Source organism: Homo sapiens, chromosome 12 (genome assembly GCF_000001405.40).
Source record: "Homo sapiens chromosome 12, GRCh38.p14 Primary Assembly".
Classification (NCBI taxonomy): domain Eukaryota; kingdom Metazoa; phylum Chordata; class Mammalia; order Primates; family Hominidae; genus Homo; species Homo sapiens.
This window is the reverse complement of record NC_000012.12, coordinates 6085596-6110017: the sequence shown is the minus strand read 5'-3', so window position 1 is coordinate 6110017 and position 24422 is coordinate 6085596. Positions and strand designations below refer to the sequence as shown.

General features: G+C 45.3%; 1 protein-coding gene and 1 pseudogene across 2 annotated transcripts in view, besides 2 other annotated features; both read left to right on the top strand.

Annotated features, from left to right (window-relative positions):
* Positions 1–24422, top strand: part of VWF (von Willebrand factor) — a 175794-nt gene that overhangs the window by 14653 nt on the left and 136719 nt on the right. For both annotated transcript variants that reach the window (NM_000552.5, XM_047429501.1), the window contains exon 6: positions 14434–14558. In NM_000552.5, coding sequence (NP_000543.3) covers positions 14434–14558 — 125 coding nt within the window. The remainder of the gene's footprint in view (positions 1–14433; positions 14559–24422) is intronic.
* RN7SL69P (RNA, 7SL, cytoplasmic 69, pseudogene) lies at positions 14048–14319 on the top strand (annotated as a pseudogene).
* Positions 15584–16179: an enhancer, noted in NCBI's record as "H3K27ac-H3K4me1 hESC enhancer chr12:6203005-6203600 (GRCh37/hg19 assembly coordinates)". NCBI's record gives its function as "activates a minimal SCP1, AML or CMV promoter by ChIP-STARR-seq in primed H9 embryonic stem cells {active_cell/tissue: H9 hESC(primed)}" and the evidence as "EXISTENCE:reporter gene assay evidence [ECO:0000049][PMID:30033119]".
* Positions 16180–16776: an enhancer, noted in NCBI's record as "H3K27ac-H3K4me1 hESC enhancer chr12:6202408-6203004 (GRCh37/hg19 assembly coordinates)". NCBI's record gives its function as "activates a minimal SCP1, AML or CMV promoter by ChIP-STARR-seq in primed H9 embryonic stem cells {active_cell/tissue: H9 hESC(primed)}" and the evidence as "EXISTENCE:reporter gene assay evidence [ECO:0000049][PMID:30033119]".

Below are 24422 nucleotides of genomic sequence, written 5' to 3'. Positions count from 1 at the left end.
GTTTATGTGTGTGTGCATGTGTGTGTTCACGAGCAATAGAAAGTAATATGGATAATGTGAAAACACTAGGCTGGGCGCAGTGGCTTACCCCTGTAATCCCAGCATTTTGGGAGGCCGAGGCAGGCGGATCATGAGGTCAGGAGATTGAGACCATCCTGGCTAACATGGTGAAACCATGTCTCTACTAAAAATACAGAAAATTAGCCAGGCGTGGTGGCGGGTGCCTGTAGTTCCAGCTACTTGGGAGGCTGAGACAGGAGAATGGCGTGAACCCGGGAGGGAGAACTTGCAGTGAGCAGTGATCGTGCCGCTTCACTCCAGCCTGGGCGACAGAGCGAGACTCCGTCTCAAAAAAAAAAGAAAACACTAAAGATGAATATTTCAATCTTCTTTAATTTCAATTACATAAACATTCAATTAGTGATGTTCCCTTGCCAAAGCTAAACACTTACATATGTTATCTTTCTTCCTTATGACCCAACCACTTTCTGATTAGAGAGTAAACATGCAGAGAAACAATTGACTCTTCCTTTCATTGGAATGTACCATATTGGAAAATAGCATGATAGTTTATTTTTTGGTTTTCTCCAGCACTGATTTTATTGTCTGATATGTACATTTAGGGCTATAAATTTCCCTCTAAATATCACTTTAGTTGCACTCTATATATGTGTGTGTGTTTGTGTAAATATGTATATATACTGTATATGTGTGTATATATGTAATTATATATGTGTGTGTATATATATGTATATATATACACGTGTGTGTGTGTGTCTGTGTGTCTCTGTGTGTGTGTATTTAGAGATAAGGTCTTGCTAAGTTGCCCAAACTGATCTTGAACTCTTGGGCTCAAGGAATCCTCTTGCCTCAGCCTTCCTAGTGGAATTATAGGTGTGTGTTACTGTGCCCAGCTGTACCAATTTTGATATGTAACATATTTCATGTTTTAAATTTTCTAACTTCCATTTTGAGCTCTTTCTGAACCTATATACATTTACAAATTCAAAAGTTTGAATTTTTTTTTTTTTTTTTTTGAGACGGAGTCTCGCTCTGTCACCCAGGCTGGAGTGCAGTGGCGCGATCTCGGCTCACTGCAAGCTCTGCCTCCTGGGTTCACGCCATTCTCCTGCCTCAGCCTTCCGAGTAGCTGGGACTACAGGCACCCGCCACCATGCCTGGCTAATTTTTTGTATTTTTAGTAGAGACAGGGTTTCACTGTGTTAGCCAGGGTGGTCTCCAACTCCTGACCTCGTGATCTGCCCCCCTCGGCCTCCCAAAGTGCTGGGCTTACAGGTGTGAGCCACTGTACCTGGCCTGAAGTTTTTAAAGTTACCTATTTGTAACTAAATTGATTTCTAAATTTGGTTAAAAAATTGTGGCCTAGTTAAAAAATTGTAGACTTGTTTGCAGCCTTTTTTTTTTTTTTTACAAGTGTTCTATGTATGCCCAAAAATAATGTATTCTCTGATTGGTGCAGGACTCTACCTATACTTCTTGAATTAAGCTTTTTAATTGTGTTTTCCAGATCTTCTGTATGTGTACTACTTCTTGTCTGCTTATTAATGACCCATTACTAAAAGAGCTAAATTTTTCTATAATGGTGGTGAATTTGTCACTTTCTTCATGTAATTCTGTCAAATTTTGCTTTGTGTGTGTGTGTGTGTGTGTGTGTGTGTGTGTATATATTTCTTTCTTTCTTTCTTTCTTTTTTTTTTTTTTTAAAGACAGAGTCTTGCTCTGTCACCCAGGCCGGATTGCAGTGGTGAGATCTCAGCTCACTACAGCCTCCACCTCCCAGATTCAAGCGATTCTTCTACCTCAGCCTCCTGAGTAGCTGGGACTACATCCAGGTGTCACCACGCCTGGCTAATTTTTGTATTTTTAGTAGAGATGAGGTTTCAGCATGTTGGCCAGGCTAGTCTTGAACTCCTGACCTCAAGTGATCTCTCCGCCTCTGCCTCCCAAAGTGCTGGGATTACAGGCGTGAGTCACCGTGCCTGGCCTGCTTTGTATATCTTGAGCCTTTGTTATTAGTGTTTAGAAATACTGAATCTTTCGGCTGGGTGCGGTGGCTCAAGCCTGTCATCCCAGCACTTTGGGAGGCCGAAGTGGGCGGATCATGAGGTCAGGAGATGGAGACTATCCTGGCTACCACGGTGAAACCCCGTCTCTACTAAAAATACAAAAAATGAGCCAGGTGTGGTGGCAGGTGCCTGTAGTCCCAGCTACTCGGGAAGCTGAGGCAGGAGAATGGCATGAACCTTGGAGGCGGAGCTTGCAGTGAGCTGAAATCGCACCACTGCACTCCAGCCTGGGCGACAGAGTGAGACTCCGTCTCAAAAAATATATATATATATATATTGAATCTTTCTAGGGAATTGTTCCTTTAATGTAATGACTCTCATTTTTACCAGTGCTTTTTGCCTTCAATCTGTCTGATATTAGTATAGCTATTCCACCTTTCTTTTGGTTAGTGTTTGTTTGATGTATCTTTTTCCATTCTTTCAACCTTTCTATGTGATTTTGTTTCAGATGTGTGTCATGGAAGCACCACATGGCTCTATTTTATTATTGTTCTTTCAAAAGTCAGATTTATTGAGGTTAATTTACAGACAGTAAAATTCACCCTTTCACATACAGTTCTCTGAGTTTTCGCAAAAGCGTAGAGTCATGTAACCACCACAATCAAACTATAGAACAGTTTTGTCACCCTCAAAATCACCATGCTCCTTTGTAGTCAAATCTTCCCCCAACTCCTAGCTCCTGGTGGCCACTGATCTTTTATCTGTTTCTGTAGTCTTGATATTTCCAAAATTCATATGACTGTAATCATACCCTATTTGCAGTATTTAGTCTTGTAAGTCTGGCTTCTTTCATTTAACATGGTCCGTGAGAGGTTAATCCATATTGGTGCATGTATCAGTAGTTTGTTCCTATTTATTGCTAAGGAGTAGTTACCACAATTTGTTTACCCATTCACCAGTTGAAGGATGCTTTGTTGTTTCCAATTATGGAAAATTATGAACAAAGCCAGTGTAAACATTTGTGTATAGATTTCTACACCCCGCCGCATTTTTTATTGTGCTATGATACATGTAACATAAAATTTACTATCTTTTTTTTTTTTTTTTTTTTTTTTGAGTCGGAGTTTCACTCTTGTTGCCCAGGCTGCAGTGCAATGGTGTGATCTCAGCTCACTCCAACCTCCGCCTCCCGGGCTGAAGCAATTCTCCAGTCTCAGCTTCCCTAGTAGCTGGGATTACAGGTGTCCGCTACTATGTCCAGCTAATTTTTGTATTTTTAGTAGAGACGGGGTTTCACCATGTTGGCCAGGCTGCTCTTGAACTCCTGACCTCAGGTGATCCGCCTCCGCTTAGCCTCCCAAAGTGCTGGGATTACAGGCGTGAGCCACCGCGCCTGGCCAAAATTTATTATCTTAACCATTTTTATGTATATAGTTCAGTGGTATCAGGTACATTCATGTAGTTGTACAACCATCACCACCATCCATCTCCAGAACTCTTTTCATCTTGCAGAACTGAAACTTTATATTCATTACACAATAACTTCCCATTCTTCCCTCTGGGCTCCTGGAAACCATCATTTTACTTTCTGTCTATGATTTTGACTACTCTAAGTATCTCATATAAGTGGAATCATACAGCATTTGTCTTTTTGTGGCTGGCTTATTTCACTTTGCATAATGTCCTCAAGGTTCATTCATGTTGTGGTGTATGTCAGAATTTTCTTCCTTTTTAAGGATGAATAATATTCCATTGTATCAGAGGAATTTGAGGAAAAGAAAAAAAATTTCATTGTGCATACAGACCGTACGTACTTTGCTTATCCATTTATCCATCAGTAGACACTTAGATTGCTTCCACGTTTTGCCTATAGTGAATAAAGCTGCTATGAGTATAGGTGTACAAATAACTCTTTAAAACCCTGCTTTCAATTCTTCTTTATTTTTTTTGAGATGGAGTTTCCCTCTGTCGCCAGGCTGAAGTGCAGTGGCCTGATCTCGGCTTACTGCAACCTCCACCTCCCGGGTTCAAGTGATTCTCCTGCCTCAGCCTCCTGAGTAGCTGGGACTACAGGCGCATGCCACCACGCACAGCTAATTTTTTTTTTTTTGTATTTTTAGTAGAGATGGGGTTTCACCATGTTGGCCAGGAGGGTCTCCATCTCTTGACCTCTTGATCTGCCCACCTTGGCCTCCCAGAGTGCTGGGATTACAGGCATGAACCACCGCGTCCGGCTCAATTCTTTTGAGTATATTCCCAGAGGCAGAATTCCTGGATGATTTCTAATGGCAATTCTATTTTCTTCATATATTTCATGATTTATTTTTCAGGTATGTGAAATTTTAAAATATTCCTTTTACAATATCTATTTCTCTTTACTTAAAAGGAGAAAAATTTGATATGCAATTTCTTCTTAAACATTTTTTAAATTTTTTCTTTTTAAAAATTTGTATAAGGCCGGGCGTGGTGGCCCACGCCTGTAATCCTGTAATCCCAGCACTTCAGGAGGCCGAGGTGGATGGATCATTTGAGGTCAGAAGTTCAAGACCAGCCTGGCCAACATGTGAAACCCCATCTCTACTAAAAATATAAAAATTAGCTGGGGGTGGTAGCACATGCCTGTAATCCTAGCTACTAGGGAGGCTGAGGCAGGAGAGTTGCTTGAACCCAGGGGACGGAGGTTGCAATGAGCCGAGATCGCCCCACTGCACTCTAGCCTGGGTGACAAAGCGAGACTCTGTCTCAAAAAAAAAATTGTATAAATTTATGGGGTACAAGCGCAATTTTGTTACATGCACAGATTGTGTAGTGGTCAAGTCAGGACTTTTAGGGTACAATATACTTTGTACCCATTAAGTAATTTCTCATCATCTGCCCCACTCCCACTCTCTCTCACCTTTCTGAGTCTCCAATATCTATCATTCTACTCTTTCTGTCTGTGTGTACACATCTTTTAGTAACCACTTTTTGGTGAGAACATGTCATATTTGACTTTATGTGGTTTGTTTCACTTAACATAATGACCTCCAATCCCACCCATGTTGCTGCAAAAGATGCGATTTCATTCTTATGGCCAAATAGTCTTCCATTGTGTATATGTACCACATTTTCTTCATCTAATCATCTGTTGATGGGCATTTAGGTTCATACCATGTCTTTGCTATTGTGAATAATGCACAATAAATATACTAGTGCAGGTATATTTTTGATATATTGATTTCTTTTCCTTTGGGTAGATATCCAGTAGTGGGATTGCTGGATTGAATGGTAGTCCTATATATTTTTTTTTTTTCCGAGACAGAGTCTCACTCTGTTGCCCAGGCTGGAGTGCAGTGGCCTGATCTCAGCTCACTGCAACCTCCAGTTCCCGGGTTCAAGCAATTCTCCTGCCTCAGACTCCTGAGTAGCTGGGACTACAGGCGCATGTCACCACGTCCGGCTCATTTTTTTTTCTTTTGTATTTTTTTAGTAGAGGCGGGGTTTCACCATGTTGGCCAGGCTGGTCTCAAACTCCTGACCTCGTGATACGCCCGCCTCAGCCTCCCAAAGTGCTGGGATTACAGGTGTGAGCCACCGCGCCTGGCAGTCCTATTTTTTTTTTTTTTAAAGTTCTTTGAAAAATCTGCATACTGTTTTCCATAGAGGTTGTACTCATTTACATTCCCACCAACAGTGTGTAAGAGTTCCCCTTTTTCCTCATCCTTGCCAACATCTGTTATTTTCTGTCTTTTTAATAATAACCGTTGTGACTAGGGTAAGATGATATCTCATTGTGGTTTTAATTTGCATTTCTCTCATGACAAGTTATGTTGACCATTTTTTTCACATTCCTGTCAGATATTTGTATGTCTTCCTTTGAAAAATGTCTACTCATGTCCTTTGCCCACTTCTTGCTGATATTATTTGTTATTTTTCATTGTTGTTGAGTTGTTTGAGTTCCTTGTGTATTCTGGATACTAGTCTCTTGCTGGATGAAAAAGTTTGCAAATATTTTCTTCCATTCTGCAAGCTGTCTCTTCACTCTGTTGATGATTTCTTTTGCTGTGCAGAAGATTTTTAGTTTAATGAAGTCTCATTTATCTATTTTTGTTTTTGTTGCCTGTGTTTTTGAAGTCTTAGTCAGAAATTCCTTGCCTAGGCCAATGTCCAGTACAGTTTTCCCAAGGTTTTTTTCTAGGATTTTTATAGTTTCAGACCTTACATTCAAGTCTTTAATACATCTTGAGTTGATTTTTTTTTGTATATGGTGAGAGATAGGGGTCCAGTTTCATTCTTCTGCATATGGCAATCCAGTTTTCCCAGCAACATTTGTTGAAGAGGGTGTCCTTTCCCTAGTATATATTCTTGTCAGCTTTGTCAAATATCAACTGGCTCTATCTCTGGGTGTCTATTCTATTCCATTGATCTGTGTGTGTGTGTGTGTGTGTGTGTGTGTGTGTGTGTGTATACATATATGTGTATATACACATATGTGTGTATATATATACGTGTGTGTATACACATATATGTATATACACACATATGTGTATATACACATATATGTGTATGTATATACACACGTGTGTATACACACACGTGTGTATACACACACGTGTATACACACACGTGTATACACACACACACATATATATGTATATATACACACATATATATATATATTTTTTGAGACGGAGTCTCGCTCTGTTGCCCAGGCTGGAGTGCAGTGGCGTGGATTGGCTCACTGCAAGCTCCGCCTCCTGGGTTCATGCCATTCTCCTGCCTCAGCCTCCCTAGTAGCTGGGACTACAGGTGCCCACCACCACACCCGGCTAATTTTTTGTATTTTTAGTAGAGATGGGGTTTCACCGTGTTAGCCAGGGATGGTCTCAATCTCCTGACCTTGTGATCCACCCACCTTGGCCTCCCAAAGTGCTGGGATTACAGGCATGAGCCACCACGCCTGGCCGATCTATGTGTATATTTTTATACCAGTACCATACTGTTTGATTACTATATTCTTGTAATATATTTTGAAGTCACATATTGTGATGCCTCCAGCTTTGTTCTTTTTGTTCAGGATTGCTTTGGCTATTCGGTCTGTTTTTCAGTTCCATATGAATTTTAAGATTGCATTTTCTAATTCTGTGAAAAATGACATTGGTACTTTGATAAGGATTACATTGAATCTGTAGATTGCTTTGGGCAGTATGGTCATTTTAACAATATGAATTCTGATCCATTAGCATGGCAATTCTATTTTTAATTTTTTTTTTTTTTTGAGACGGAGTCTCGCTCAGTCACCCAGGCTGGGTGCAGTGGCACAATCTCGGCTCACTGCAAGGTCCACCTCCCAGGTTCATGCCATTCTCCTGCCTCAGCCTCCTGAGTAGCTGGGACTACAGGCGCCTGCCACCACGCCTGGCTAATTTTTGTATTTTTAGTAGAGACGGGGTTTCACCGTGTTGGCCAGGATGGTCTGGATCTCTTGACCTCGTGATCCGCCTGCCTCGGCCTCCCACAGTGCTGGGATTACAGGTGTGAGCCAACGTGCTCTGCCTGTTTTTGTTTTTTTGAGACAGTCTTACTGTGTAGCCCAGTCTGGAGTGCAGCAGAGCAATCTCGGCTCACTGCAACCTCCACCTCCCAGGTTCAAGCTATTCTCCTGCCTCAGCCTCTGGAGTAGCTGGGATTACAGGCACACATCACCATGCGCAGCTAATTTTTGTATGTTTATTAGAGACAGGGTTTCACCATGTTGACCAAGCTGGTCTCAAACTCCTGACCTCAAGTGGTCCGCCCACCTCGGCCTCCCGAAGTGCTGGGATTACAGGTGTGAGCCACCTTGCCCAGCTGACTGTAATGGTTTTGAACATTTTTAATGCAGCTGCTGTTCAATAAATATTTGTTGATTGAATAAAAGAATCAGCCCTTCCCTTTCTGAGCACATGCAGAATCTGTGCCTTCTTCTGGTTTTTAACTAACACCTAGTTTTAAGAGAGAAAATTCCGCCCTCCCCCATAAATGTCATGTTCTGTCTGTCATTTGGACATGACCCAAAAGCTTAATTTTCTAAAAAGCCAAAGTGCTGGGATTACAGGCATGAGCCACCACGCCTGGCCCTGATGCTTCCTATCTTTCATCAGATTTAGAACATTTTCAGTCATTTTTTTCTCCTTTGGGAACTGTGAGAAATATGTTGGATTACTTTATTTTTATTATTATTATTTTTTTCTTTTTGAGATGGAGTCTCACTCTGTCGCCTAGGCTGGAGTGCAGCGGCGTGTCTCGGCTCACAGCAACCTCCGCCTGCCGGGTTCAAGCAATTGTCCTGCCTCAGCCTCCTGAATAACTGGGACTACAGGCGCCCGCCACCATGCCTGGCTAATTTTTTGTATTTTTAATAGAGACGGGGTTTCACCATATCGGCCAGGCTGGTCTCAATCTCCTGACGTCGTGATCTGCCCTCCTCGGCCTCCCAAAATGCTGAGATTACAGGCGTGAGCCACCGCGCCTGGCCTGGATATTTTTATTTCATCCCTTTTTTAATCTTTACCTTACTTCCATTTTTTTTTTTTAAGCTCTTTATCCCTCTGTGTTGCTTTTTTAGGTCGTTTGCTTGGCTCAAGTGTTGTGCTCATGCTGGTTGGTGAGAATTGATTGTGTGTATCTCTTCCCAGCTCCACATTCACTGATATCACATTGGTAGCTTGAAACTGGCCATGGTAGGAGTATTTACACGATGGAAACCAGCAAATGCTACAAATCAGAGCTTTGCTTTTTTCCTGGAGAAGGGGATTATCAGCTCATCTCTACTTAGATCTATCTTCTAATCCACTAATTCTCTCTCAACTGTGTCTAATCGGCAGGTGATGTCTAACCACCATCAATAGAGGTTTCTGTTCATTTCATTAACTATATTTGTAATTTTAGAAGGTAAACCTGGCTCTTTTTCTACTCTATTATTTTTCTTATTATCTTGTTCTTTTATGAAATTTCCATTTCTTCTTTACAACAATAATTTTAAATATGTTTGTTTTATAACCTTTATATAGAAATTTTATTATCTGAAGTTTTTGAAGCTCTACTCTTGCTATTTCTGTGTCTTTCTTTATTATTATTATTATGCTTTAAGTTTTAGGGTACATGTGCACAATGTGCAGGTTAGTTACATATGTATACATGTGCCATGCTGGTGTGCTGCACCCATTAACTCGTCATTTAGCATTAGGTATATCTCCTAATGCTATCCCTCCCCACTCTCCCAACCCCACAACAGTCCCCAGAGTGTGATGTTCCCCTTCCTGTGTCCATGTGTTCTCATTGCTCAATTCCCATCTATGAGTGAGAACATGCGGTGTTTGGTTTTTTGTCCTTGCAATAGTTTACTGAGAATGATGATTTCCAATTTCATCCATGTCCCTACAAAGGACATGAACTCATCCTTTTTTATGGCTGCATAGTATTCCATGGTGTATATGTGCCACATTTTCTTAATCCAGTCTATCATTGTTGGACATTTGGGTTGGTTCCAAGTCTTTGCTATTGTGAATAGTGCCGCAATAAACACACGTGTGCATGTGTCTTTATAGCAGCATGATTTGTAGTACTTTGGGTATATACCCAGTAATGGGATGGCTGGGTCAAATGGTATTTCTAGTTCTAGATCCCTGAGGAATCACCACACTGACTTCCACAATGGTTGAACTAGTTTACAGTCCCACCAACAGTGTAAAAGTGTTCCTATTTCTCCACATCCTCTCCAGCACCTGTTGTTTCCTGACTTTTTAATGATTGCCATTCTAACTGGTGTGAGATGGTATCTCATGTGGTTTTGATTTGCATTTCTCTGATGGCCAGTGATGATGAGCATTTTTTCATGTGTTTTTTGGCTGCATAAATGTCTTCTTTTGAGAAGTGTCTGCTCATGTCCTTCACCCACTTTTTGACGGGGTTGTTTGTTTTTTTCTTGTAAATTTGTTTGAGTTCATTGTAGATTCTGGATATTAGCCCTTTGTCAGATGAGTAGGTTGTGAAAATTTTCTCCCATTTTGTAGGTTGCCTGTTCACTCTGATGGTAGTTTCTTTTGCTGTGCAGAAGCTCTTTAGTTTAATTAGATCCCATTTGTCAATTTTGGCTTTCGTTGCCATTGCTTTTGGTGTTTTAGACATGAAGTTCTTGCCCATGCCTATGTCCTGAATGGTAATGCCTAGGTTTTCTTCTAGGGTTTTTATGGTTTTAGGTCTAACGTTTAAGTCTTTAATCCATCTTGAATTAATTTTTGTATAAGGTGTAAGGAAGGGATCCAGTTTCAGCTTTCTACATATGGCTAGCCAGTTTTCCCAGCACCATTTATTAAATAGGGAATCCCTTCCCCATTGCTTATTTTTCTCAGGTTTGTCAAAGATCAGATAGTTGTAGATTATTTCTGTGTCTTTTGACTCTTGCTTAGAGTGGACTGTTTCATCATGTTTCATAATTTTCGATTGTGAACTCATCTTTGAAGGGTTTTGTGTTAATATTTCAATATGGAGTTACTAAATCTTATAAGAAGTATAAATAGGAATCTCAAATCCATATGAGGGCTTTCCCACAAGTACAGATATTGAGGGAGACGTTTTTCCTCACTTATCCAGAACTTAGACTAGGTTAACAAACTTTTGCTTCCTTGGTTTTTTTTTTTTTTTTTTTTTTTGAGATAGAGTCTTGCTCTGTCCCCCAGGCTGGAGTGCAGTGGCGCGATCGGGGCTCACTGCAACCTCCTCTGCCCAGTTCAAGTGGTTCTTCTGCCTCAGCCTCCTGAGTAGCTGGGATTACAGGCATCCACCCCCACGCCTGGCTAATTTTTGTAGTTTTAGTAGAAACAGGGTTTCACCATGTTGGACAGGCTGATCTTGAACTCTTGACCTCAAGTGATCCACCTGCCTCGGCCTCCCAAAGTGCAAGAATTATAGATGTGAGCCACTGTGGCCAGCCCATTGTTTCTTAGAGTAGATTTTTTTTCTTGTGAACTTTCTCATGGAGGGTGTTGTCATCCTTTAAGGGTCCCAGCTTCACAATGGGGGTCTCAGGATCTCCTTCCTACATCATGGAGATCCAAAGCTGTTAAACCCACACCCCTTCGTTGGCAAGATTGCCACCCTTGCCCCGACTTCAACACTCACCAGGTCTGTTTTTCCTTTTTCTCTCCTTATCCTTTCCCCCTCTTTCTTTTTGTCTTTTGAAATTTCTTTTTTTTTGAGATGGTGTCTCTGTTGCCCATGCTGGAGTGCAGTGGTGCCATCTTGGCTCACTGCAAGGTCCGCCTCCCAGGTTCACACCATTCTCCTGCCTCAGCCTCCCGAGTAGCTGGGACTACAGGTGCCTGCCACCACACCTGGCTAATTTTTGTTTATTTTTAGTAGAGATGGGGTTTCACCATGTTAGCCAGGATGGTCTCGATCTCCCGACCTCGTGATCCGCCCGCCTCGGCCTCCCAAAGTGCTGGGATTACAAGCATGAACCACTGCGCCAGGCTTGTCTTTTGAAATTTCTTATACTTTTTTGTGAGATTAGTCATGAATTCAATAGGGCATTTGTTCATTGTAGTGGCACGTGTTTCAGTGTTTTCTAATCTGTCATGTTGCTAGAAATGGAAGTCCCAGCCCTAAAATATCTTTCATATTCCCAGGCTTTAAGGTTTAAAAACTGAAAATGAAGTCTATACTGTGTTGGTGTTTGTTGGTAAAAATTCAGGACTCTGGTAATATTTCAGAAACCATCCTCAAAGGACTGGGGGTTTAGTTGTCTTTGGTTGTTAAAGACTCAACAATGTTTGTCCCCAAACAGTTAACTTTCCTTCCTGACTTCTAGGAATCTGCTCAGCTTGGCTTTTACTTAGGCTTTCAGAGAGTTTTCTCTAAGCAAGAATATTTGTAATTCCATCTCTTGGACAGTGTATGTCTCGTTTCAGATCTAGCCTGTAAAGTTTCACTTCATAGATGGTCAGGGCTAAAAACGACCCTAGAAGTCATCTAGTCTAACTCCTTATTTGCACATAAGGAATTGGGATCAGCCCAGATCACACAGGGTCACAGAGGGGCTTTGCCCAGGCAACAACATGAAGCCTCCTCTATGTCCCTTCCTTAATGTGGTTTATTAGAAAGTGTCAAAACCTGTGTGATATGGAGTGACTGAGTACCCAGAGAGTACCTGTCACAATGTCTGGCACACAGTCAACATGCCACAAATTTAAGTTCTCTTGCCTTTGGCTTCTCCCATGTATCAGTTTCCTGTGGCTACCAACACATTACCACAAACTCGGTGGCTTGAAACAACTGAAATTTATTCTTTCATGGTTCTGGAGGTCAGAAGTTTGCAATCAAGGTGTTGGGAGGGCCAAAACTCCCTCCAGAAGCTCTCGGGAAGCATCTGTTCCTGGCCTCTTCTACCATCTGCAGTCATACCTGACTCATGGCTACATCATTCCAGTCTCTGCCTCTGTCTTCACATTGCTTTCTCCTGTGTGTGTGTCTTTGCCCGTCTCCCTCTGCCCATGTCTTTTTTTGTTTTGTTTTGTTTTGTTTTGTCTTTTGTTTTGGGATGGAGTCATGCTCTGTCACCAGGCTGGAGTGCAGTGGTGCATTCTCGGCTCACTGTAGTCTTCGCCTTCCAGGTTCAAGCAATTCTCCTGCCTCAGCCTCCCGAGTAACTGGGATTACAGGCACGTGCCACCATGCCTGGCTAATTTTTTTGTATTTTTAGTAGAGACGGGGTTTCACCATCTTGGCCAGGATGGTCTTGATCTCCTGACCTCGTGATCCACCCTCCTTGGCCTCCCAAAGTGCTGGATTACAGGTGTCAGCCACCGTGCCCGGCCTCTACCCATCTCTTATAAGGATACAGGTGATTGCATTTAGGCTTACCCAAGTAATCCAAGAGAAACTCTTCCTCTCAAGATCCCTAACTCAAGCACATCTTTTGCCATATGAGATAATATTTACATGCTCCAGGGATTAGGAAGTGAATATATCTTTGGTGTGGGGGGGATCTTTTTCTGCCTATCAAACCCCCACATACCAACTGACTATATTCCAAGGTCTCATTTATATTTTCCTTCCCTGGGGACAGTTTATTTACTATTTGCAAATGCATTACTTGACCTTGAGACCTACTTCTCTCTTCCAGGCCTGGCTATGCAGAAAACTGCTCATCCCAATACTGCAAAGGTAGTAGTCTCATACTGCCTTTGTAATACAGATTACGCAATTACTTTGCACTAGGCCATGTAGGTCCACGAGGCCCTCACAGTCTATTGTGAGTAGCTGACAGTAGCATGAGCACTATAAGTACTAAAGCACAGATGCTGTGAGAGCCTGGAGTATGCAGTGACTTGGGGACTGGGCTTAGGTTCCATGTCATATTCTTACCTTCATTCTGCAAAAATATTTTGAGCATTCGTAATCCACTGTATAAGAATTTAGAGATAAGAGACACAGCCCATACCCTTAAGTAAGGAGCTCACAGTTGAATGGGAGATGAATATGAGCAAAAAGAATACAAACCAAAGGTGATGAGTGTTTTGGTAGAGGGATGCCCAGGTGCCATGGGGCACAGGGAAGGTGACACCCATACAGGCTGGGGTGCGAAATGGGAGTAGAGCTGTTCAGAAAGGACCATTCACTCACCAGGACCACACCTGGAGGCAGTGGTTCTTGAGCTGCATCTTGAAGAAGGAATGGAGATAGTTAAGGCAATAAGGGGGAGGAGAACATTCCACATGGAGGGAGAAAGGCACATGAAGGCATGGAGAAGTGACAGGGAAAGGGCATTTCCTCATCATCTTTCACCTCATCTCCCTCATCGTAATTGTAACCGTCCATCCATCCATCCATCCATCCATCCATCCATCCATCCATCCATCCATCTATCCATCCATCCTTCTTCAGTCTCCAAGCGTCTGCTGAGCTCTGATGCCCATGCCCTGTGGTGTTAGGTTGAGCACTGTATGCATGCTTATTGTTTAATTTAATACAAGTTTGATTCAGGTAAAAACAGACCTAGAGCCTGGTGTGGTGGCCCACACCTGCATTCCCAGCTACTGGGGAGGCTGATGGGGGAGGATTGCTTGAGCCCAGGTGTTCTGGGCTGCAGAGCACTATGCATCAATATGGGGGCCTCCTGGGGAGTGGGGGACAACTGGGTTGCCTGAGGAGGGGTGAACCAGCCAAGCCAGAGATGGGTCAAGTCAAAACTCCTGTGCTGCTCAGTAGTGGGATTGCACTTGTGAATAGCCGCTGCACTCCAGCCTGGGAAACATAGCCAGACCCTGTCTCTTTATAAAAAATTAAAACAAAACACACAAAACCACCAGCAGACCTAGAATTTTCACCCAGAAGTTCTGGGACAGGCATAACTGAAGCATTACTTTCCTGAAACTTTCCTCCACAGGGACCTTGACCTCGGACCCTTATGACTTTGCCAACTCATGGGCTCTGAGCAGTGGAGAACAGTGGTGTGAACGGGCATCTCCTCCCAGCAGCTCATGCAACATCTCCTCTGGGGAAATGCAGAAGGTGGGTGTGGACTGGCCTGGGTGCACCTGGATGGTGTGTGATTTCTGGATCTAAAAGACAGAAGGACTCAGTCTCATATCCTTCCATCTGGGGGAGGAATGGACTTACGCAGGGCCATTTCCTCCAAAACTAACTGTGGCTAGAGTCTAATTCTAATACATCTCGAGCCTGAAGCTCTAAAAATGAGTCTGGGCTAATGACTTGGTGTAGTGTCTCAGTCCATTTGTGCTGCTATAACAAATGCCTGAGACTGGGTAATTTTAAGGAACATAAATTATCTTTTATAGTTCTGGAGGCTAGGCAGCCCAAAATCAAGGTACCAGCATTCAGTGTCTTGCAAGGACCTTCTTGCTGTGACCTGAAGCCGGGTCCTGTGGCTCATTCCTGTAATCCCAGCACTTTGGGAGGCCAAGGTGGGTGGATCACGAGATCAGGAGATCGAAACCATCTGGGCGCCTGTAGTCCCAGCTACTCGGGAGACTGAGGCAGGAGAATGACGTGAACCCAGGAGGCGGAGCTTAGCACTCCAGCCTGGGCGACAGAGTGAGACTCTGTCTCAAAAAAAAAAAAAAAAAAAAAATTAGCTGGGCATGGTGGCATGTGCCTATAATCCCAGCTACTCAGGAGGCTGAGGCAGGAGAATTGCTTGAACCTGGGAGGTGGAGGTTTCAGTGAACTGAGATCGTGCCACTGCACTCCATCCTGGGTGACAGAGCCAGACTCTGTCTCAATTAAAAAAAAAGAAAAAAAGTACACTGAAGTGCTCTCATCTGCCTCTTTTATCAGAGCACTAATCCATTCACGAAGGCAGAGCCCTCAGGACTTCATCACTTCCTAAAAGGCGCCACCTTTTAATAGCGTCACTTTGGGGTTTAGGTTCCAACACATGGATTTTGGAGGACGTAGACAGTTGAACCATAGCAATAAGTAACTATGCTTTTCTGTTTTAGACTCCAGTGCCCTCTTTTGTCCCCAAATATCTCCATCATCACCTGCTAGGTGTCTGAAATTTTACCGATAGAAAAAAGCCACTTCTTTCTTAAGTGGCTGTTGTAAACTAGAAATAGGAGGGAAAGCCTCCTCTTATACCAGCTCAGCTGGAAGGAAAACTACTTTATAGTTGCAGACACTGAAGGGAGTCTGAGTGAGAGGCTGTGCCTGAAGTGACATAGCTTGGATGTCAGGATGGCTTCCTGAAGCTGCTGTAACAAATTATCTCATACTCAATGGCTTAAAACAGTAGGCATTTATTTTCTCCCAGTTCTGGAGGCTGGAGGTCCAAATTTAGTTTCCCTGGGCTGAGATCAAGGTGTTGGCTGGCTTTGCTCCTTCCAGAGGCTCTAGGTCCTTGCTTCCGTCATTTTTGGGTGGCAGCGGCATTCCCTGTCTTTGGGCTCATGACTTCAATTTCTGCCTCTGTGGTCACATGGCCTTCTCCTCTCCTGTGTGTGCTAATGCCTGCCAACCCTGACAAGGCTGGGAGGACTGCCCCACCCCTTCCACAGAGCCCTGTTGCCACTTACAAGGTAGCCTTGTAGCAGCTCTGTCTGCATCAGAGTTGCCATTCATGATCTCACTCACCAGGACCTCACACTGGAGAGAAGGGGAGGTGGGGAGGGGTGGCCAGACCACACTCTGCCTTCACCTGCCACAGGTAAAGATGGTCTTTGTGCCTCTCTGTGTGTGGGTGTTTGGGGCAAGAATGCTTTATGTGGGGCAAGACCTCACTCAATGGGTAATTCCCTCCCCACTGTGGAACAGGCTGACTTGGGCTGAGGAGGTAGGTGCAGCTGTGAAGCTGGACTCCTGTGGGGAACAGGGGTTGTTGCCCTTTTGGGATTGTGCTCAGAGACTCATCATCTGAGGAGCAAGGTTCCTTGGTGGTGCTGTGAGTCAGCCTCCCTGGGCGGGACGTTTGTATGCAGGAGGTTTACTGGGGAGCTCTCGAGCAGCCTTGGTTAGGAAGTGAGAGAAGCAGAGTTGGGCAGTGGGAGAAGTTGAACTGCTTGTGATAGCACTGATAGAGCTTCAGCGGGGCCTCAGCTGATCCTTCAAGGAGCTCTGGAAGGTGGAGTGGCCCCTGTTGGTCACTGGATGTGGGCTGCCCTGGGTAAGGAGGTGGAACTCCCTTGGGCTGAGGGCCATTCCTGAGGAATGACTCAGTGGTGAGCCCTTGGCAGCCAACACTGGACAGCTGGTGGATGAGTCCTCGGGCTCTGAATGGGCACCTACGCTGTGCCCCGACACCTACGCTGTGCCCCGACACCCTCTACAAAGCTGCTCTGCTTGACAGCACCACCTTCCTGCCCTTATCCAGAGAGCAACCACACTGTCAAAAATGTCAACTGAAGAATCACAAGGTTCATAAACTTAGAGAGGAGAGCTTTTCTTATTCAGAGTTGTGGCCTGCAGGCTGGCCATCCTGCAGGCTGGGAAGTGTAGCCTCTGGTAGAAACTGAAAGCAGGCACTTCAAGGGAGAAAGGGGTGGAATAGAAACTTATTCCAAAAGGGTTGGCTCAGTGTACATATTTAACAGGTTATGGGAGGAGCTATGAATATTCATAATGGGAGGAGGCATTTGCATATACAGTAAGCAAACATACATGTTACATATGTCCCACATTCATTTTGGGATGGAGACTTAACATTTAAATGCATTAAAATTAGCCTCTATAGGTCAAAAGGTGAAATGGAGGACACAGAGGCATCTTGTGCACAGCCTCTGTAAATCAGCCAGAACCATTCCGTGGTTGGTGGTCTCTTACCAGGAAGGAATGCTGGTCAGCACACACACACACACACACACACACACACACACACACACACACACACACACACACTCTCACTCACTCACTAACTAGCTGGGCATGGTGGCATGCACGCACGCACACACACTAGCTGGGCATGGTGGCACACGCGCGTGCACACACACACACACAGACAAACACATACTAGCTGGGCATGGTGGTGCACCAGTAATCCCAGCTAATGGGAGGGCTGAGGTGGGAAGATGGCTTGAACCTGGGAGGCAGAAGCTGCAGTGAGTTGAGATTGCATCACTACACTCCAGCCTGGGTGAAAATGTGAGACCCTGTCTCAAAAGAAAAAAAAAAACCCGCAAAAAGGGAAGGGAGTCCCTGCTGGGCCAGTTCTGTTTAACTCTTAGGAAAGAAAGTCTAATGGTGGTTAGCGAGGGAGAGGGTATAAGGAGGGGTGTTCAACCTCCCATCCTATCATGGCCAGGAACTCAGTTTTAATATTTCTCTGGGGTCCCTTTGGCCAAGGGGGAGTCCGTTTAGTCGGTAGGGGGGCTTAGGATTTTATTTTTTTCTGAAAACCTACAAACATGCACAAAGAGGGTGGCCCCTGCCTATACCCAGGACCATGGTCATGATGGACGCGACAGGCCACAGTTGCCTTTGTCTGGGCATGGGCCACTCTGCAGAGCGTGAGTGCATGCTGCAGTCACCCGAGTGCGCAGCCCATCAGCAGAGCAGTAGGGCAGGTGCTCTGTGATTTTGTTCATCCCATGAGAAAACAAGCCATAGGAGGTTAAGTAGCTGCCCCAAGTCGCCAGCTAGCAAGGTGCAGAGCCAGGACTCATGCCCTGCCTGGCTCCCTCCCTTTCCTGTTCGGGTCACATTGGTTCAGGCTACTCAAGTTATTTCTACCAGTGGGCCCTTGTGTTTCTCTTGGGGAGTTGGGCTTTGCAGGTTCTTAAGGTTTCTTTAAGTTCTAAAACCCTTTATTAGCCTGGTGCGGTGGCTCATACCTGTAGACCCAGCTGCTCAGGAGGCTGAGTCAGGAGGATCACTTGAGCCCAGGAGGTAGAGGCTGCAGTGAGCTACAATTGCACCACTGCACTCCAGCCTGGGCAACAGAGTGAGACCCTGTCTATAAAACAAAACCAAAACCAAAACTCTTTCATTATGTGTTTCTGTGGATTGGGCTATAGAGACAGTATATAATAGGTCTTAATAAATATTGGATGGGTGGATGAATGGAAATTGGTGGTGTAATTTATCTAGGGATTGTGACCTCCACAATAATCCAGACTCCTTTACTTGTAGAAATCTGATTTATCTAAGTAAGTACATAAGTAGAGAAACCCAGCCCTCTCCTATTCCAGAAACAAAATAAAACACACCCACATCTCCCTCCTCCCACCCACCCCCCATCACGGTAACACGAGGAAGCTTCGTTTTAGCTGGTTATTAATTCAGTGAGTCTTCATCTTCATGGAACAATTTGACCTCTGACCAAGGAGAATGTCAGACCCAGAAAAATATTCTGAGTTGATGCTAAATCCAGCTGCCTAAATTGTGAACAGACAATCTCCACCTTATAAACAAGTACATTCCAAAAGACTTTTTCCCTTGGACTTTGGTGGTGCTAGGTCCTCTGGTTAGTCCATCAAAGTCTGCATCACCTGGATCCTAGCCCAGTACCGGCACTAACAAAGGCGGACTGAGTTCTAGCACGTGAGGGGAGGGTGCTGTCTTGTGGAAGGGAGGAGTTTCCTCTTCTTTGCAGTCAAAGTTCTAAATGCCTGAACCATACCCTTGATAGCCCCTTGAGTGTCTCTCACCCTGGGCCTCGGCGTGAGCGTGGTGCTAAGGGTGTGGGTTTGAGTCAGCTCACTTACTGGCTTTGTGAATCTGGGCAAGACAAGTGCCTTTGCAGAGCCTCAGTTTCCACATTTGTAAAGCAGAAATAGTACCTGCTGGGTCACTGAAAAGGTAAGAGAGGGATAATATGTATAGAGTTTAGCCCAGTGGGGCTCAACTGTTAAGAGCCATGATGATGATGAGGAGGAGGAGGAGGACGAGAAGGAGGAGGAGGAGGAGGAGGAGGAGTTGTTGTTAGCTGGCTCCCCATATTCTCCCACTGTCCCGTGTTTTCCGCTGGAGTGCCCCTGCCTTGAGAATGGGAGCCGGCAGAAGCAGGACAAGCACACGCCGGGCTTTAAGCACAAGTTTCAACACGCATTCTTTTTCTCCTTCCCCCTCGCAACTATAACCCATTCCTTTTGGGTAGCCGAGCACAGCTTGAGGTTAGAAGGAAAACAAGGTGCCCAGATATCTCCACACCTCCAAGTGGGTAAGTGACAGGAACCAGCCTTCCTTCTAGAGCGGTTTGTGAACCCAGATGGATTTCAAATTGAGTGCACTCGAGGTATTGTGTAAGAGAGGACAGATTTTCGGCCGGGCACGGTGGCTCACGCCTGTAATCCCAGCACTTTGGGAGGCTGAGGTGGGTGGATCACGAGGTCAGGAGATTGAGACCATCCTGGCTAACATGGTGAAACCCCGTCTCTACTAAAAATACAAAAAATTAGCCAGGTGTGGTGGCAGGTGCCTGTAGTCCCAGCTACTCGGGAGGCTGAGGCAGGAGAATGGCATGAACCTGGGAGGCAGAGCTTGCAGTGAGCCGAGATTGCACTACTGCACTCCAGCCTGGGTGACACAGCGAGACTCCATCTCAAACAAAAAAAAAGAAAAAAGAGGACAGATTTTCATAATTTCTTTCTTTTTTTCCCAAACATACAGTTGTGCTGTTGGCAGGTGGGTCACCCTCGGCTGCCCTTCAGTGTTCTCCAGGCAGATGAAGGGGAGGTGGTGGGTGCTTCAGTGGGTGAGGTGGGGTCAGGGTGGCTGTGGAGGTACCTCTAATACTGAAACATGGCTTCAAAGATTTATTATTTTTGGTCTCATTTTATTTTGCAAACATAGCCCAGTGCAGAGTAAGTACTTGACAAATGTTCCCTACCCTCGGAATACAAAGGAATGATCTCATTTATCCATACTGAGTGGGAGGTAAAGACAGGATTCTCAAGTGGAGAACCTGATCCTGAGGTCGGGTTGAGGAGGGAGACTGGGAGGTTTGTCTCCTGGAGACAAAGGGGAGGGAGAATGCAAGAGAAGCCTTGTTTGCCTCCCGGGGCACCTTTCTGAGGCTCCAGCTGTACCCTAGCTACTCGCTTTGTCTCCTGGGTGCATTAAAGTCCTTACTAACCAGTGTCCTGGGAACAGCTGAAAAAACTGGGTACCAGGTTCTTCGTGTTGGGCTGAGGCCACAAACACGTGAGACCTCCCAGAGGCACAAGCTCCTCCCAGCTCAGAACTCCCGGTTTCAGGTTGTTTACCTGAGAAGAGAAGACTGCTTTGTCCTCAGCCAATCAGATAGTGTTTGCCCACAACCGAGGTTTTTTCACTGGCTCGGAAGCACAATGACTCGTCTCCCAAGAGGTGATTAATATGGCCTTTTGAATTGTTCACAGCCTGTGTAGTCCCGCAGGGCCCCCAGGTTCAGAAGTCCGGTCTGGTAAATGCCGCATCATTTATGAGTGTCTGCTGTTGTGGCTCCAAGGGCCGTTCGGGGTGGCAGAGTGTTTTGTGTGGGAGTTCACACTGACCTTGAAACTTTCCTTGACAGCCTCCAGAATCTACTTCCCCAACCCTCTGGTGCTTTCTGTCTTTCTAGGGCATAGCAAGGAGTCAGCTCATTCTGAGAGCCAGGTCATATTACTTGTTAGTTATACCTAGGGAATGAATGTTTCCTTGTTATGCCAACAAAACCCAATGCCTGTCTCCACTGGGACTGATAATGGCCTTGTTTGATTGCATGCAAATTTGCAGTTTTTTCAGCTTTTCAAACTGAAGGCAAGATGGTTGGAGTTTGGAGCCCCAAGCTATGAACATTCAGATAATTGATGTTCATCTGCAGGTAACTATCACAAAGTGTACCTTTGAGAAAGAAAGACCCTTAGATCACTTTAAAAAAATTCGATCAGACTGGGGAAGGCCAGCAAGGACTGAACCTTACAAAGGGATCTTGGCTTTGTCCTGTAGTCCTGTCTGCAACAGGAAGCCCAAGGCTCCGGGGGGCTGGGCTTGGGCTGCATCCAGCTCATAGCATGCTTTTGCTAATTAGAAAAAGGCACCCCTTTCTCTCTCTCTCTCTCGCTTTTTTTTTTTTTTTAGACAGAGTCTCGCTCTGTCGCCCAGGCTGGAGTGCAGTAGTGCGATCTTGGCTCACTGCAAGCTCCGCCTCCCGGGTTCACGCCATTCTCCCGCCTCAGCCTCCCGAGTAGCTGGGACTACATGCGCCTGTCACCACGCCCAGTTAATTCTTTATATTTTTTAGTAGAGACGGGTTTTCACCGTGTTAGCCAGGATGGTCTCGATCTCCTGATCTCATGATCTGCCCGCCTCGGCCTCCGAAAGTGTTGGGATTACAGGCGTGAGCCACCGCGCCCGGCCAAAGGCACCCCTTTCTCAAGAAACTTCACCACCACCTGCCGGGAAACGGCCAAGATAAACATAATAACTGAACATATAATGTACATGTATATACCTCTACAATGTCTACCATATGAACAGTAGTCACTTGGTGTGTTGCCACTGTGTGGACTGTGTGGCTTGCATCATGACATGTGATGGTGTTGGCCTGGCTTCCTCAGGGAGGCACAGTCTCTGTGACCATCATCTCCTCGCTCAGGATCACCTCCTCAAGGCGATCAGTCTCTATTGAGAAACTGAGTGCACCAGTTACCACTCTACCTACCGTAGAGTGGTGAATCATTCAGCAGCAGCAGCAACCTCCGACAGCTGTCTGAAGTGGAAGAAATTTCTTTTCATCAATGTTAGGAATCTTAGGCTCATAAGAACTCAGAGTTGGTTGAGAATCTAGCAGATATCTACTTCAACCCCCTACCTGCCGCATGAATGCTCTCCACAAACTGTGTCTGGGTAGACAGGTTATGCTGTGACCTTGACTGTAAGAGTTAAATCTTGGCCAGGCGCGGGGGCTCAGCCTGTAATCCCGGCACTTTGGGAGGCCGAGGCGGGCGGATCACGAGGTCAGGAGGTCGAGACCATCCTGGCTAACACAGTGAAGCCCCGTCTCTACTAACAATACAAAAAAAAAAAAATTAGCCGGGCGTGGTGGCGGGCGCCTGTAGTCCCAGCTACTCGGGAGGCTGAAGCAGGAGAATGGCGTGAACCCGGGAGGCGAAGCTTGCAGTGAGCCGAGATCGCACCACTGCACTCCAGCCTGGGCGACAGGGTGAGACTCTGTCTCAAAAAAAAAAAAAAAAAAAAAAGAGTTAAGTCTTTGAGACACCCTTGCTGGGCGCTTCCCAGCCATCTTGCAGACCTCAGCCCTAGGCAGCCCTCCTTTACTCCCTGGTAAATTCCTTCTTTCATTGTATGCCCGTTCGAAGCTAAAGCCCTGTCCTTCCGTGTCCCTGAATACTGGAGAAGCAGGTGCTTTGGGTCTGGTTTCTCCTGGTCTGGCTCAGGAGCTCACATCAATTGCAGTCCTGTCAGTCACTGAATAGCCTCAGATTTCCTGTTTTCCACTGGTCTCTGAATTTGGTGTTTATTAGGTGAACACAAGCCTTATTTTCTTTGGCCATTCATGTCTTCACATTCTCTCGCGTCCTCCATTATCTTGTAGAACTCTTTCCGCCTCCTCTGAAACAGCATGCAGTTCACCTGTGATTCCTCTTCCTCCCAGAAAATCACCTGTCCTGCTTGAGCTAACATTTTAAACAGTCATGTTGACTTTGAATAATCACAGCATGCCTCCTCAGTAGCCCAAAGAGGCACAGAAAATACCCATTCCGTTAGAGACAAAGCAGTTCACTCTTCATGTTCTCATTAAATATTGCTCAAGCCTTTTATTTGCAAAGGACCTACCAGCCCTTTCTGCTATTTCTGCTCATGGTGACTCTGAAAGGGAAATTCACAGGCATGGAGGGAGGCAATGTAAGCCCAGCGGACTTGGGTCTCACTGTCTAGGCCCACTTCTGCCTTCCCTCCTTCTTCTCCTTGCCTCTTCCATTCACTTAATTGGCAGTTTTGGTCTGGAATGGACTTTTCTTGGAGACTGGGAAGAATTTTGTTACATTTGTTTGCTTGGTAGCATAGTTGTGATTCATAGAGTACAGTTGTCAGGGGAGAGCCTGGCCCAGAGAAGGTCAGTAGATCTCAAGGAAGGACCCTTGGAATGCAGGATCCCAGAGAAGTTAGTTGTCAGATGATGGCCCTGGTTTTAGAGTTGGGGTGCCCACCCACTATGCCCCAGTGACACCAAGCTCAGAGCTGGGGTTTGCAATAAGTACACACGTGTCTTTCCCCGTTTTGATGAGAACTGCTCTCTCAAGTCTCTCTTTCTTGAGTCATTGATAGGCTAAGGAATGAGGACTTATTTCAAGTGCTTTAGTGAGGTCCAAGAATCCAGGGGGCAGTCCCTGGTTTGGCCCAATTCTCTGCATGTCCTCGTGTAAGTTACTTTCCTACTCTGCCTCTCAGTCTTCCCTCTCTGAGGTAAACAGAGCTCCACGGAACCCCCCATGGATAGGCACCCTTTCTTTACAGCAGACTGGCTCACCTGAGTGCAGGATGGGAGAAGGGCAGGGAGCCAATGGTTGTGGTGAAACAGTGGTGACCTTGGCCACTGTTCCCTTGGGGGTCTAGCCTCATGGCAGAGGTCAGTGGCTACCATGGGGTTTTGCAGATTTCCCTTGAACTTGGCCTTTAAAAATTTTTTTTTAAAATTTTACTTTAAGTTCTGGGATACATGTGCTGAACGTGCAGGTTTGTTACATAGGCATACATGTGCCATGGTAGTTTGCTGCACCTATCAACCCATCATTTAGGTTTTAAGCCCCACATGCATTAGGTGTTTGTCCTAATGCTCGCTCTCTCCTTGCCCCCGCCCCCCGCGCCCCCCCTCCCCGCCCACAGGCCGTGGTGTGTGATGTTCCCCTCCCTGTGTCCATGTGTTCTCATTGGAACTTGGCTTTTTATGTTGCTCATTTGACAAGCCCTTGAGGAGAGTTGGATAAGGACCTAGCA